The 15,382-nt window shown below is 49.5% G+C and overlaps 1 protein-coding gene across 6 annotated transcripts in view, besides 1 other annotated feature; it reads right to left on the bottom strand.

Moving 5' to 3' along the window:
- The window catches only part of COL26A1 (collagen type XXVI alpha 1 chain), a 196,637-nt gene that overhangs the window by 85,107 nt on the left and 96,148 nt on the right, over positions 1-15,382 (bottom strand). The gene's annotated exons all lie outside the window — the stretch shown is intronic.
- Positions 12,052-12,564: an enhancer, noted in NCBI's record as "H3K27ac-H3K4me1 hESC enhancer chr7:101104635-101105147 (GRCh37/hg19 assembly coordinates)". NCBI's record gives its function as "activates a minimal SCP1, AML or CMV promoter by ChIP-STARR-seq in naive H9 embryonic stem cells {active_cell/tissue: H9 hESC(naive)}" and the evidence as "EXISTENCE:reporter gene assay evidence [ECO:0000049][PMID:30033119]".

Raw genomic sequence — 15,382 nt, 5'->3', positions numbered from 1 at the left:
TGATGGGCAAAGTGAGGCTCTGAAAAAGTAGATAGCTTGCTTGAAATATCTTTTTTTTTTTCTTTGAGACAGGGTTTCACTCTGTCACACAGCTGCGGTTTGGTGGAATAATCATAGTTCACTGCAGCCTCAACCTCCCAGCCTCAAAGCAATCCTCCCACCACAATCTCCCAAGTAGCTGGGACTACAGGCATGAGCTACCACACCTGGCTAATTTTTTTTGTTTTGTTTTGTTTTTGTTTTTGTTTTTTGTTGTGTGTGTTTGTGTGTGTGTGTGTGTGTGTGTGTGTGTGTGTGTGTGTGTGTGTGGAGACAAGGTGTTGCTCTGTTGCCTGGGCTGGTCTTGAACTCCTGGCCTCAAGCAATTCTCCTGCCTCAGCCTCCCAAAGTGCTGAGGTTGCCTGTATGAGCCCTTGTCCAAAACTTCACAACTAGAGGTGGTGGGACCAGGTTTGACTGCAGGTGGTGCCAAGCCCCAGTGTTTGTTCTCCTCTGGGTGGGGTCCTAGCAGACCAAAAAGCGGCAGCAAAACATGCAACCCAGGCCGGGCGCAGTGGCTCACGCCTGTAATCCCAGCATTTTGGGAGGCTGAGGTGGGCGGATCACAAGGTCAGGAGATCAAGACCATGCGGTGAATGGTGAAACCCTGTCTCTACTAAAAATACAAAAAATTAGCCAGGCGTGGTGGCGGGCGCCTGTAGTCCCAGCTACTCGGGAGGCTGAGGCGGAAGAATGGCGTGAACCCAGGAGGTGGAGCTTGCAGTGAGCAGAGATTGTGCCACTGCACTCCAGCCTGGGCGACAGAGTGAGACTCCGTGTCAAAAAAAAAGAAAAAAAAAAAGATGCAACCCATAGTCAGCTCATAAACCAGTTGGGAAGATAAACATATAGGCAATTGAGAAAAAAAGAAGAAAACTCCAAGCCTGTAAGAGAAGCACTGAATGAGAGGCCCAGGCAATAAATAACTACAAAGGCACAGCAAGGCTCAGGGATTCTGGAACATTCCAACGCCATGTCGGGGAAACGCAGGCAATGCTTTAGGTGGTTCTTGTGGGAACAGGAGACCCAGAGACAAGTGCACCCCCTCTGCAGATCCGGAGGTCCCCTGGGGCCCCACAACACTTCGACTGGAAGGAGTGAGGGTTAGAGCCACAGATTGCGGTGTTTATGGGCTCCTAAGAGCATGTGGGCACTTCGTAAATGCGATTTGATGGTGGAACAGTTGGCTGAGGGAAGGGCTGTCCTCATCCCAGCTGCTCCATGCTCTCCTGGGAGGCATTTTCCCGAGGCGCAATGTGCATGACCTGAGCTACATGGTCCTCACCTACCAGGATGGCCTCAGTCCATACATGCTTAGCACAACCCCTCCATGGCGGAATGGATCCACCTGTTGGAGGAGTCTCAACCAGAGTGACTCCATCTTGAATAATGGCCAAATAAAGCCAAACCTGGTAGGTTACATTCCCAGGAAGTTAGGCACTCTTGGTTACAGGGTGTTTATGGTGGAAGGGATGAGTTAACTAACTAAATAAGACCTCGAACTTAAAGAGATGTCCTGATGCCCTGATATCTTAAGAAGAAAAAACATCCTTAGTTTAAAAATAAGTTTCAAGGCTGAGCACAGCGGCTCACACCTGTAATCCCAGCACTTTGGGAGGCCAAGGTCGGCAGATTGCTTGAGCTCAGGAGTTCCAGACCAGCCTGGCAACGTGGTGAAACCATCATCTCTATAAACAAATTTGGAAACTGGCCAGGCGTGATGGCGCATGCCTATAGTCTTAGCTACTTGGCGGTCTGAGGCAGGAGGATAGCTTGACCCTGGGCGGTTGAGGCTGCAGTGAGCCATGTTTATACCACTGCACTCCAGCCTGGGTGACAAAGTAAGATCCTGTCTCAAAAAAAAAGTTTTGCTTTAAAGATAATAGCATACCTATTAATTCTTGCTGAAATCAACAGTTACACAAGAGAATAGCAATACTAATTGCCTGTCACAACCTGATCACAAACCTTTGGAATAAAGCATGTAAGACCTTATTCTGGCCGGGCGCAGCGGCTCATGCCTGTAATCTCAGCACTTTGGGAGGCCAAGGTGGGCAGATCACTTGAGGTCAGGAGTTGGAGACCAGCCCAGCCAACATGGTGAAACCCCATCTCTACTAAAAATACAAAAATGAGCCAGGCACGATGGTGCGTGCCTATCGTCCCAGCTACTCTGAAGGCTGAGGCAGGAGAATCGCTTGAACTCGGTAGGTGGAGGTTGCAGTGAGCTGAGACTGTGCCACTGAACTCCAGCCTGGGCAACAGAGTGAGACTCTGTCTCAAAAAAAAAAAAAAAAAAAAAAAAAACAAACAACAACAACAACAACAAAACATTATTCTTAGCTCTGTTATTCTATTTAAGCAAGCATTGTATTTGACGTGAGTGTATTCCTTCTGCTTTCTGAGGATAGCCTATTCTGTAATTGAGTAGTCTCTAATACATTATCTTAGCTTCACTATACTCGGCAACTCACCCTGAATTCTTTCCTGTGTAAGATCCAAGAACCCACTATTGGGAGTCTAGATGACACTCCTTTCCGGTAACACACTCACACAGGGTGTATCGTGATGTGGCTCCACATCAGCCACCCTATTCAAATCTCTGCCATTGCTCAGCCATGTGCACAAGGCAAGTATAAAGCCCTTATGCTTAATTGCATGGGAACAGATATTATGGCACGTGGGGGCTGGCACTGTGAAATGTCATTGCTGGAAATCAGGGCCTCCTGTACCTTGACCTTAAGGCCCGAGTGAGTGTCTTCAGTACACAGAGTAGCATCCAGCCTCAGCTCCAAAGGCCTCTGTGTCTGTGGTATAATAAAATATATGTATTTGGTCTTTGTTGAAATTGCTAGCGTGGAGCCCCTAAGACCCTTGGAATTTCCTGAGTGATAGGAGTGTGTTTTGTTATTCATAACAAGCCTCTTTCCCCCAAATCTGAGTTTATGCTAAGTGAGGTGATCCCTGCTGGGCCCCTAGACAGCTTCAGGGTGAGAGGGTGGGGGCCAGAGAAGCCAGCCACGTGACTAGAGGGTGGGAACTTTCAGCTCCAACCTTGACCCCCAGGAAGAGAAGAAAGATGAGATTGTGTTAATCAACAATGGCCAATGATGTAATCAATCGAGCCTATGTAACGAGACCCCATATAAAAACCCTAACAGTGGAGATTATGGAGCTTCCAGGTTGGTAAGCACCTGAATGTTCTGGGACAGCGGATACTCAGAAAAGATAGAGAAGCTCTACATCCCGTCCCCACCCTCCATACTGGCCTATGTGATACAGGAGATAGAAAGAGATTATTTAGGCAGAGAGCAACGGCGATACAGTCCTTGGCAAGGTTTCCCTTTTAACAAAAAGCAGCCCCCAAATCATTTCTTTTCTAACAAAGAGCAGCCTGAAAAATCAAGCAGCAGACATAGAGAAGAAAGACAGAAGCTTGCAGGGGTGAATGCCGGCAGCTATGCCAATAGAAAAGGGCTACCCGGGGCTGGGCGTGGTGGCTCATGCCTGTAATCCCAGCACTTTGGGAGGCCGAGGTGGACGGATCACCTGAGGTCAGGAGTTCAAGACCAGCCTGGCCAACATGGTGAAACCCCCTCCCTACACAAAAAATTAGCTGGACATGGCGGTGCGCGCCTGTAATCCCAACTATTCAGGAGGCTGAGGCAGTAGAATCGCTTGAACCTGGGAGGCAGAGGTTGCAGTGAGATCGAACCACTGCACTCCATCCTGGATGACAGAGCCAGACTCTGTCTCGAAAAAAAAAAAAAAACAAAAAAAAAGGCAATCCATTTCTCCGGGACCCCTCTCTCTGCAGCAGAGAGAGCTCTTCTCTTGCTTTCGCTGATTCAACTTCTGCACTGACCATCATTCTTTGTGTGTCTGTGTCCTAGTTGCCCATGGTCGTGAGACAACGAATCTTGAGTATTTACCCCAGACAGCGACGCCACTTCACGTGCATCTCTCCCAGTTGGCTGCTACTCAAGTGTTTCCTTTACAATAAGATGGTAACCATCAGCAAAGTGCTTTCCTGAGTTCTGTGAGTGGTTCTAGCGAATTACCAAACATGAGGCAGAAATCGTGGACACCAGCTGGGCGCGGTGGTTCACGCCTGTAATCCCATCACTTTGGGAGGCTGAGGTGGGCGGATCACTTGAGGCCAGGAGTTCGAGACCAACCTGGCCAATATGGTGAAACCCCATCTCTACTAAAAATACAAAAATTAGCTGAGTATGGTGGCACACGCCTGTAATCCCAGCTACTCAGGAGGCTGATGCAGGAGAATTGCTTGAATCCAGGAAGCGGAGATTGCAGTGAGCTAAGATCGTGCCACTGCACACCAGGGCGAAAAGAGCAAAACTCTGTCTCAAAAAAAAAAAAAAAGAGAGAAATCGTGTAAACCCTTGAATTTGCATAAGTGCAGGTAAACTGGGCACCCCGTTTATGGCCGGCATCTGACGTGGGAGCAGTCTTATGGTCTTGAGCCCTTAAACTCTGGGGTCTGCTCTAACTCCCAGTAGTGTCTGAATGGAATGGTGGTGGTGTCAGAGAATTGGAGCAATGTATTTGGAGTCAGAAAAAAAACCACAGCAGTCTCCATTTCCTTTTCCACAAAGATATCTCCTAAATAGCTACCAGCATAGCTTTCACCCCTTTTCAGAGAGAGACCCCCAGAATTTCCAGGAGGGCTGTGTGTCTGCACAGCACTTTACAGTCCATAAAGCTATTCCTCTGCCCTACAGTGTCCCCAGGGCCCCACGAGGCAGGTCTGAAACTCAGAGAGGCATTCCTTCTGCTCAACATGCGTGTCTGCTGATGCGCTCTGCCAGATCATAGAAGATCAGGAGATGGAAACATTTGTGCTGGGAGAGTCTCTCTCCCAACCCCATTTCACAGATGAGAAAACCGAGGCCCTGCGAGGCTGTGACTTGGCCAAGGTCCACCCGGTGCAGCAGGGCAGAGCTCCATCTAGCTGCTTAATGGGAGCCAGGCCTGGGAACTGCCAGGTCTGGTGGAGGCCACTCACTGACACCAAATCTCAGCTGAGCGCCAAGGGCTTGGCCTCCAGGGCGGTGCCTGCACCCCTACAGATGGCCAGAGAAGAAGTGGAAAGGAAGTGAATGCGTCTCCCCCTCCCTCCTCCCACAGTTTCCCCAGCACATGTTCAAGACACAGAAATCTCTCATTAAAGTTTTACGGTTTAACCACCGAACATGCTACATCATCTCCATAACTTATACCTGACCTTGTGTCTAGACATGGCATCATGGGAAGGTAAGCCCCCTTCTGCAGGAAGTTTACGATAACCAGGGCTCAGTGGGTCGTTACGGAGGCCTTGCTTGGCGGCACGGAGCCCTGCCTCGGGGAGCAGAGACCTCCAAGGTGCCCCTTCCCCAGCAGGGCTACTCCTATGACCCTATTTCCAGAAGAGAAACGGATGGGCAGGTCACTTACAAAGTGATAAAAGAGCTAGAAAGAAATTCTTTAGGCAGATAGTGGGGGTAAGAGAGTCCTTGGTAAGGGTTTCCTTTTAATAAAAAGCAGCTGCAAAATAATTTCTTTTATTTTTTTTTTTTTGAGACTGAGTCTTGCTCTGTTGCCCAGGCTGGAGTGCAGTGGTGTGATCTTGGCTGGCTGCACCTCCACCTCCCGGGTTCAAGCGATTCTCTTGCCTCAACCTCCTGAGTAGCTGGGATTACAGGCGTGCACCACCATGCCCGGCTAATTTTTGTATTTTTAGTAGAGACGGGGTTTCACCATGTTGGTCAGGCTGGTCTTGAACTCCTGACCTCAAGCCATCTACCAGACTTGGCCTCCCAAAGTGCTGGGATTACAAGTGTGAATCATTTCTTTTCTAACAAAAAGCAGCCTGAAAATCTACAAGCACAGGTAAGCAAGCTAAAAGCTTGCATATGTAAATGCCGGCAGCCGTGCCAATAGAAAAGGGTTACCTGGGGGCCAGGTAGGTTCAACATGGCGGCTCCTTCTTCCCTTTTCTTTTTCTTTTCTTTTGAGACGGAGTCTCGCTCTGTCACCCAGGCTGGAGTGCAGTGGCGCGATCTCGGCTCACTGCAAGCCCTGCTTCCCGGGTTCATGCCATTCTGCTGCCTCAGCCTCCCAAGTAGCTGGGACTACAGGCGCCCGCCACCATACCTGGCTAATTTTTTGTATTTTTAGTAGAGACAGGGTTTCACCGTGTTAGCCAGGATGGTCTTGATCTCCTGACCTCGTGATCTGCCCGCCTCAGCCTCCCAAAGTGCTGGGATTACAGGCGTGAGCCACCGCGCCCGGCCCCATCTTCCCTTTTCTTTGTCAACCATGTGTACAGGAAGGAACAGACAAGATGGCAGCAGCCAGGTAGAGAACCCGTCTGCACAATAAAAGATTGGGGTGGGATGGCCAGCTTCTTCGCACACTATGCAAACGTCACACCTGGTCTGACCAATCTCTCGGGCGCTGTGTAAATCAGACTCTGCCTCTTCAGGCTCATCTATAAACCACCCCCCATCCTCCCCCCGCCCTGTGCATTTCGCCATGAAACCAGAAGACCCACTCGGCAGCCCCTCTCTATCTGCAGGAGGGAGGGCTGTTCTCTTTTCTCTCTTTATCACCTATTAAACCTCTGCTCTTAAACTCACTTCTTGTGGGTCCATGTCTTTGATTTCCCTGGCGTGAGATGATGAACCTCAGGTATTTACCCCTGACAATAATGCTGCTTCAAAAGGTCCTGACTTCCGGCCTCTGTCTACACAACCCACCACCTCCCAGGGACGTTCACAGCATCCCTGTTGCTGATGGGCTGCCCTCCAAGGGGAATTTGGTTGGACTCCAAACCCCAACCAATCTCCACTCCCTAAAGGAAAACAGCAGCTTTGCAGGGGGTCACTAACTCTGGACCTCAGCCCAGGGCTCCCAGCGCTGGCAGCAAGACCGGGGATTCCTGGCACCCTCTACCTGACAGGGTGCTTTCTGGTACTCAGGGGATCCATACTGAGACCCTTCACGTTGCATGAAAAGGCAGAGACTGAATCTCTCTCTCTCACACACACACACACACACACACACACACACACACACACACACCAGAACATGCCGGGGTCTTAGCATTCTCATCTCAGTCCTAAGCATCTATATCCTGAAGGGGAAAATACAAAAATCAGTCAGTCTGTATTTATTTATATATTTTTTGGAGACAGGGTCTCGCTGTGTCACCCAGGCTGGAGTGCAGTGGCACAATCACAGCTCACTGCAGCCTCAACCTCCGAGGCTCAAGCGATTCTCCCACTTTTGCCTCCTGAGTAGCAGGTGCACACCACCATGCCTAGCTAATTTTTAAAGTTTTCTGTAGAGACGGGGTCTATGTTGGCCAGGCTAGTCTCTAACTCCTGGCCTCAAGCAATCCTCCTGCCTTGGCCTCCTAAAGTGCTGGGATGACAGGTATGAGTCACTGTGCCCGGCTAATCAATGTGGGTTTCTAACACTATTGTGCCTAGTGCTGGGCAGGTCGGGGAATGACAGTAACAAGGGCCATTTATTCAGGCCTACTCTGTACCACCAATTGTGCCACATCAGGTACTTGTCACCTCATTTCATATACAATATATTGACAATTCTGCAAGACAGGTATCGCTGTGCTCACTTTATAGATGAGCAAATGGAGGTTCAGACAGGAAGCGACCAGCCCACAGAACTAGTGTGTGGAGCCAGGATTTAAATGCTGGGTCTGAGGCTATTGACGCCTGTGGCCTTTCCACTCTCCAAGCAGGTGAGGGATATAGAATTGCTTGGCAGGGACAGGCTGGGAGTGATCAATGATACAGCAGCCAAGCCTGCATTTGCTGCTGGGGAGTTCTAGCTGGGAAACTGAGTCATCTCAGTCAGGGCCGTTAGCAAGTTGTTAGCAAGTCCTGGATAGGTGGAAAGCTGCTGGCCCCTGCAGTGCCACGGCACCCTTGCCCAAGCCAGCTGCACACACTCATTCCCACAATCTTGGGGAACACGTGTGGACCCCCAGAAGATGAGATTCTCTGTTCTCCATTCTGCTCCTCCTGTTTGTAAAACCACCAGGCTCTGTTCATGGGTTTCCGGTTACATGGGAAGGGGCCTGATGTCTTATATCACTGCCACGCCAGGCCGAGAGCACTTCCTTTGTTTCTTTTTCTTTTCTTTTTTTTTTTTTTTTTTTTTGAGACAGTTTCACTTTGTCGTCCAGGCTGGAGTGCAATGGCATGATCTCGGCTCACTTCAACCTCTGCCCCCTGGGTTCAAGCAATTCTCCTGCCTTGGCCTCCCCAGTAGCTGGGACTACAGGCATGCACCACCACGCCCGACTGATTTTTTTGTATTTTTAGTAGAGACAGAGTTTCACCATGTTGGCCAGGCTGGTCTTGAACTCCTGACCAGGCGCAGTGGCTCACACCTGTAATCTGAAAGCACTTGCTGATGTTGTCCTGCACTGGAGTGTGAGAGGGAAACAGGGCTGGCCCCGCCACAGCCCAGGGCTCAGAGGCTATGACTCTTTGTTAAAATGATGCAGAGAGCCTGGGCGTGGTGGCTCACATCTGCAATGCCAGCACTTTGAGAAGCTGAGGCAGGAGGATCGTTTGAGCCCAGGAGTTGGAGAGCAGCCTCAGCAACATAGCGAGAACCTACCTCTGTGAAAAATTTAAAACTTAGCAGAGCTACAGGTGGTGTGCACCTGTAGTCTCAGCTACTTGGGAGGCTAAGGTGGGAAGATTGCTTGAGCCCAGGAGTTCAAGGCTGCAGTGAGCTATCGTCGCACTACCACATTCCAGCCTGGGCAACAGAATGAGACTCTGTCCCAACAAAAAAAAAAAAAAAAAAGAAAGAAAGAATTAGAAGCTTAAAGCCAAGGGTGGTGACTTACACCTATAATACCAGTGCTTTGGGAGGCTGAGGTGGGAGGATCACTTGGAGCCAGAAGTTTGAGACCAGCCTGGGCAACATAGCGAGACCCCGCCACTACAAACAATTTTAAAATTAGCCGGGCATGGTGGTGTGTACCTGTAGTCCCGCCTACTCAGGAAGCTGAGGTGGGAGGATTACTTGAGCTCAGGAGTTAGAGGCTGCAGTGAGCTATGATCATCTGGGCAACCGAGCAAGACACTGTCTCCAAAATAAATGAATAAAATAAAAATAAGAATTAGAGGCCGGGCACGGTAGCTCAAGCCTGTAATTCCAGCACTTTGGGAGGCCAAGGTGGGTGGATCACCTGAGGTCAGGAGTTCAAGACCAGCCTGACCAACATGGAGAAACCTCATCTCTAATGAAAATACAAAATTAGCCAGGCGTGGTGGCAGGAGCCTGTAATCCCAGCTACTCAGGAGGCTGAGGCAGGAGAATCGTTTGAACCCGGGAGGCAGAGTTGTGGTGAGCTGAGATCGCGCCATTGCACCTCAGCCTGGGCAACAAGAGCAAAACTCCATCTCAAAAAAAATAATAATAAAATAAGAATTAGATGCTGGGCTTGGTGGCTCACACCTGTAATCTCAGCACTTTGGGAGGCCGAGGTGGGTGGATCATCTGAGGTCAGGAGTTCGAGACCAGCCTGACCAACATGGTGAAACACTATCTCTACTAAATATAAAAAATTAGCTGGGAGTGGTGGCATGAGCCTGTAATCCCAGCAGTTTGGAAAGCTGATATGGGAGGATCACTTGAGGCCAGGAGTTCCATACCAGCCTGGGCAACATGGCAAGATCCCATTTTTATAAAAAATTTGAAAATTTGCCAAGCATGGTGGTACATGCCTGTAGACCCAGCTACTTGGGAGACTACGGTAGGAGGATTGCTTGAGCCCAGGACGTCGAGGCTGCAGTGAGCTATCATTGTGCCACTGCAATTTAGCCTGGGTGACAGAGCAAGACCCTGTCACAAAAAAAGGAAAAGAAAAACAATGAAAGAGAGAGAGAAAGATTAAGAAAGAATAAAAGAAGAAAGAAAGAGAGAAAGAAAAAGAAAGAAAGAAAGAAAGAAAGAAAGAAAGAAAAGAAAAAAGAGAAAAAAGAGGGAGGGAGGGAAGGAAGGAGGAAGGAAGGGAGGGAGGGAAGAAAGAGAGAGAGAAAGAAAGGAAGAAAGAAAGAAAGAAGGAAGGAAAAGGGGAAGGGAGGAAGGAAGGGAGGGGGGAGAGAGGGAGGGGAAAAAAGAAAGAAAGAGAGAGAAAAAGAAAGAAAGGGGACGGGAGGGAGGAAGGAAGGATGGAAGGATGGAAGGATGGAAGGAAGGAAGGAAGAGGGGGAGGGAGGGAGGGAAGAAGAAAGGGAGGGAGGGAAGGGAAGGGAAGGACAAGTGAAAGAAAGAAAAAGAAAAGGGGAGGGAAGGGGGAAGAGGGGGAAGAGGGGGGAAGGGAAGGGAAGGGAAAGGAGGGGAGGGAAGGGATATTTGCAACCTATGGTTATGGCAGCATTATTCACAATAGCCAAGAAGTAAAAGCAACCCAAATCAATGTCCCATGGCAGATGAATGGATAGTAATATCCCTACAGTGGAATATCATTCAGCCTTTAAAGGAAGGAAATTCTGACCCTTGCTACATGGATGAATCTTGAAGACATAATGCTAAGCGAAATAAGGCAGTCACAAAAAAACTAACACTGTGATTTCACTTATATGAGGCATCCAAAATTCATAGAATTTGCAAGATGAAAAAGGGGTGGAGATTTATTACAATGTGTGTGCAATTAATTTGCAGACCTTTTTAATCTTGCAAAACCAAAGCCCTGTTCTCTTTCTAGATTGACACATTTAGAGAAGGTAAGCTTAGGTCAGGACAGCACAACTATTGGCAGAGAAAGCCCAGTTCTCATGAGCCCACTTCTGGCTTGTCAATCATGGCCTGTCCTTGCCCTCTAGGAAACTTGGACCTCTCTTCTGGGACCCCTCTTCTTGGGCCCCTTTCCTTTTTATTGTTAATTATGTGCTTTGATGCACGAAGTGTCCCGGCCCCATCACTCTGCAAGGTCACTGCATCTGAACAGATCCAGGTGGAAAACCTTGCCTGCAAGTCCCTCCTTGCAGCTCAGGCATGGGGCTCCTGGTCTGCGTGGGGCCCCATTCTCTGCTTCTCGGTGTTCCCCAGTTCTGGGACTCTCATGATGGGTCCTGCCCTGCCAGCTACTGAGCTCCCACGTGTCACCGGGGGCCGGAAGCATGGGGGTCCCAGTAAACAGTACGGGGAACTGTTGATGACACCACAGCCCTGGAGGCCCCAGGAAGAGAAAAAGAAATAAATACATGAAGTTAAGGCCGGGCACGGTGGCTCACGCCTGTAATCCCAGCACTTTGGGAGGCTGAGGCAGGCAGATCACCTGAAGTCAGGAGTTCGAGACCAGCCTGACTAACATGGTGAAACCCCCTTTCTACTAAAAATACAAAAATTAGCCAGGTGTGGTGGTACACACCTATAATCCCAGCTACTCAGGAGGCTGAGGCAGGAGAATTGCTTGAACCCAGGAGGCAGAGGTTGCAGTGAGCCGAGATGGCACCACTGCACTCCAGCCTGGATGACAGAGTGAGGCCCTATCTCAAAAAAGAAAAGGAGATAAGTTTAAAATGCTCCCTGAGGCTGGGTGCGGTGGCTCAAGCCTGTAATCCCAGCACTCTGGGAGGCCAAGGCGGGTGGATCACAAGGTCAGGGGTGTGAGACCAGCCAGGCCAACATGGTGAAACCCCATCTCTACTGAAAATACAAAAATTAGCCGGGCGTGGAGGCGGGCACCTGTAGTCTCAGCTACTTGGGAGGCCAAGGCAGGAGAATCACTTGAAACTGGGAAGCAGAGGTTGCAGTGAGCCAAGATCGCACCACTGCACTCCAGCCTGGGTAACAGAGCAAGACTTCGTCTCAAAAAAAAAAAAAAAAAAAAAGTGCTCCGTGGATAGACAGCCCATCCATCTCTACTCACCATCACCATAACAGGCTAAGCAGAGGCAAAACCCAATCAACCCACCCCATGGCCCCAACGGTGAGGGCTGGAGTGGACCGGCAACCCCTGCCAGCCACTGGCTCTGCCCAGTCTGGGCCAGCACACTGTGGACGAGACCTTGAACTTATATGCCTCAGGCCCAACTGGAGCTGATGATTGATAACATTGACCAAAGCCCTTCCCTTCTCCCAGCCACAGTGTGGATGTGATGGGACCCCAGCCCCAACCAGGAGGTTCTAGAAATGCTTCCTCTGCTGTAGTGAGAAAGGTAAGGTGTGTGACCTTGAGTGGCAATGTGTGAAATTAGCCCCAGGGAAGATCATAATTAGAAGAAGGAGGTGGCTGGGCACCGTGGCTCACACCTGCAATCCCAGCACTCTGGGAGGTCGAGGCAGGTGGATCACCTGAGGTGAGGAGTTTGAGACTAGCCTGACCAACATGGCGAATCCCCATCTCTACTAAAAATACAAAATTACCCGGGTGTAGTGGCGGGCATCTGTAATCCCAGCTACCTGGGAAGCTGAGGCAGGAGAATCGCTTGAACCCGGGAGGCGGAGGTTGCAGGGAGCTGAGATCGTGTCATTACACACCAGCCTGCACAACAACAGCGAAACTCCGTCAAAAAAAAAGAAGGAGGAGGAGGAGGAGGGCAGGTGCAGTGGCTCACACCTGTGATCCCAGCACTTTGGAAGGCCAAAGCAAGAGAATTGCTTGAGACCAGGAATTCGAGACCAGCCTTGGCAACATAGAGAGACCCTATCTCTACAAAATGTAAAACAAAACAAAACAAAAAAAATTGCTGGGCGTGGTGTGGTGCACCTGTGGTCCCAGCTACTTGGGAGGCTGAGGAAGGAGGATCACTTGAGCCCAGGAGATTGAAGTGAGCTATGATAGCTCCACTGCACTCCAGCCTGGGTGACAGAGCAAGACCCTGTTTCAAAAAATAAAATAAAGTAACATCCCGCAGGTGCAAATGAGACAGTAAGCAGGGCAGAGACCTGGCCGCAGAGGTTGGAGAAGACCCTATAAACAAGGAAACTGAGTCAGGCAGAGCAACCAGTGCTTCCAAGAAAGCTGGCTGAGAAAAGCCAACAGCAAAAGAATGATGTAGACGCAATGAGGCTGTTTTCTTTTCTTTCTTTTTTTTTTTTCTTCCTGAGATGGAGTCTCTCTCTATCACCCAGGCTGGAGTGCAGTGACATGATCTCGGCTTATTGGAACCTCCGCCTCCCGGGTTCAAGCGATTCTTCTGCCTCAGCCTCCTGTGTAGCTGGGATTACAGATGCGTGCCACCATGCCCAGCTAATTTTTGTATTTTTAGTAGAGACAATTTTTCACCATGTTGGCCAGGATGGTCTCAAACTCTTGACCTCGTGATCCGCCCACCTCCACCTCCCTAAGTGCTGGGATTACAGGTGTGAGCCACCGCGCCTGGCCTGAGGCTGTTTTCTTAAAGGAGAGAGATGCTGGAGTATCCTTAGGTGCTGATGGGAAAGAGCCAGTGGGGAAGAAAGATGCAATCTACAGAAGAGAGAGGATGCATGGTGAAGTGGGATTCTGAGAAACTTAGACCCAGGGAGCCAGGCCTTGAACCAGAGGAGGATCACCCAGATCTCTACCTCCTGTGAATCTCACAACACCTCAATCGTACCTTTAGCGAAGTCCTTATCTCACAGTATTGGATGATTTGTTCATTCCTCTGGCCCCTGCACACTCTCCACCACACACACACAGCACACCTGGGAGCCCCTGAAGTCCCTTATTCATCAATGTGATCCAAGCATCCGGCGCCCGGAACGTGCTATGCACTCGGCTCATTTTGATAAATGGTCCTAGTTTGAATGACAGCTATGGAAGGCAAGTCTCAGAAACATCATCAGATTCATGGGGAGTCACTTTCCTAAAGCGATGAGCTCTGCAGATAGACCAGGAGGCTGCAGCCTCTTCTCAGGAGAACTAACTCCTTCTGGCTTTGAACCCTCAGCCATTCAAAACACAGACATGCCCGTACACAGAGCTAGAGTCGGGGCAGAATGGTTAGCATCGCCTTGGACTCAAATCAATCAGCTCCACGCTTGGATGGACTAGCTAAGCCCCTCTGTCCCAGGCCTGCCCTTGCCCATATAGGAGTCTAGGGGATTCATTTCCTGTCCTGGTTGGATTCATTTCCAGCTGGAATACAGAAAAAAAGAGTAAAAATCCCCTACTCAGAATAAAGTTATCATCTCCTGATGGTTGAGGAGATGATCAACTTTGTGGTAAATCTCTTCTACAACACCAAGCCAATGTGAGATGGGGCCTTAAAACTCCACGGTCGTAGGCCAGGTGTAGGCCAGGTGTGGTGGCTTATGCCTGTAATCCCAATGCTTTGGGAGGCCAAGGTGGGAGGATCATGAGGTCAGGAGATCGAGACCATCCTGGCTAACACGATGAAATCCCATCTCTACTAAAAATACAAAAAAAAAAAAAAATTAGCCGGGTGTGGTGGTGGGCACCTGTAATTCCAGCTACTCAGGAGGCTGAGGCAGGAGAATCGCTTCAGCCCAGGAGGCAGAGGTTGTAGTGAGCACGAGATCGTGCCACTGCACTCCAGCCTGGTGACAGAGCGAGACTCCGTCTCAAAAAACAAACAACAAACAAACAAACAAACAAAAGAACTCTAGGGACAAGGCCACCTTAGGAATTGCAGGAAGGAGCCAGCCCAGAGACTAGCGGCCCTGTCCCTTGTACTGGGACAACTTCGGGTGGGATTTCCCAAGACTGCAAAGGTCCCAGGTAGCTTAGAGTAAAGGGCACCTAATTAGGAACAAAAAGATCCCTGTTCAGCCAGGCACAGTGATTCATGCCTGTAATCCCAGCACTTCGGAAGGCCAAGGTGGGAGGATCGCTTGAGGCCAAGAGTTCAAGACCAATCTAGGCAACATAGTGAAACCTCACTTTACAAAACAAAAATGAAATAAATTAAAAAATTAGCCAGGCATGGTGGCACGCATCTGTAGTCCCAGCTACTCAAGAGGCTGAGGTGGGAGGATTGCTCGAGCCCAGGAGTTCAAGGCTGCAGTGAGCTATGATCATGCCACTGCACTCCAGGCCGAGCAACAAAGTCAGACCATGTCTCCAAAAAAAAAAAAAAGACCCAGGTTTCAGTTCTACACTGGCCACTCCTTAGCTAGATGACTTGGACAAATCTCTTATTTCCTCTGCGCCTGTTTCTGCATCTACAAAATGGAAACACAACAAACTGAAAACACTTTCTAAACTATAGAGTACCATTTCTTTTTTTTTTGGAGACAGAGTTTTCACTCACATTGCCCAGGCTGGAGTGCCGTGGTGTGATCTTGGCTCACTTGGCTCACTTAGATCACTCTAACCTCCACCTTCCAGTGATTCTCCTGCCTCAGC

The sequence above is a fragment of the Homo sapiens genome, chromosome 7 (assembly GCF_000001405.40).
Source record: "Homo sapiens chromosome 7, GRCh38.p14 Primary Assembly".
NCBI classification, from domain to species: domain Eukaryota; kingdom Metazoa; phylum Chordata; class Mammalia; order Primates; family Hominidae; genus Homo; species Homo sapiens.
Note: the sequence above shows the minus strand (reverse complement) of the source record. Positions and strands in the feature narration are given on the sequence as shown.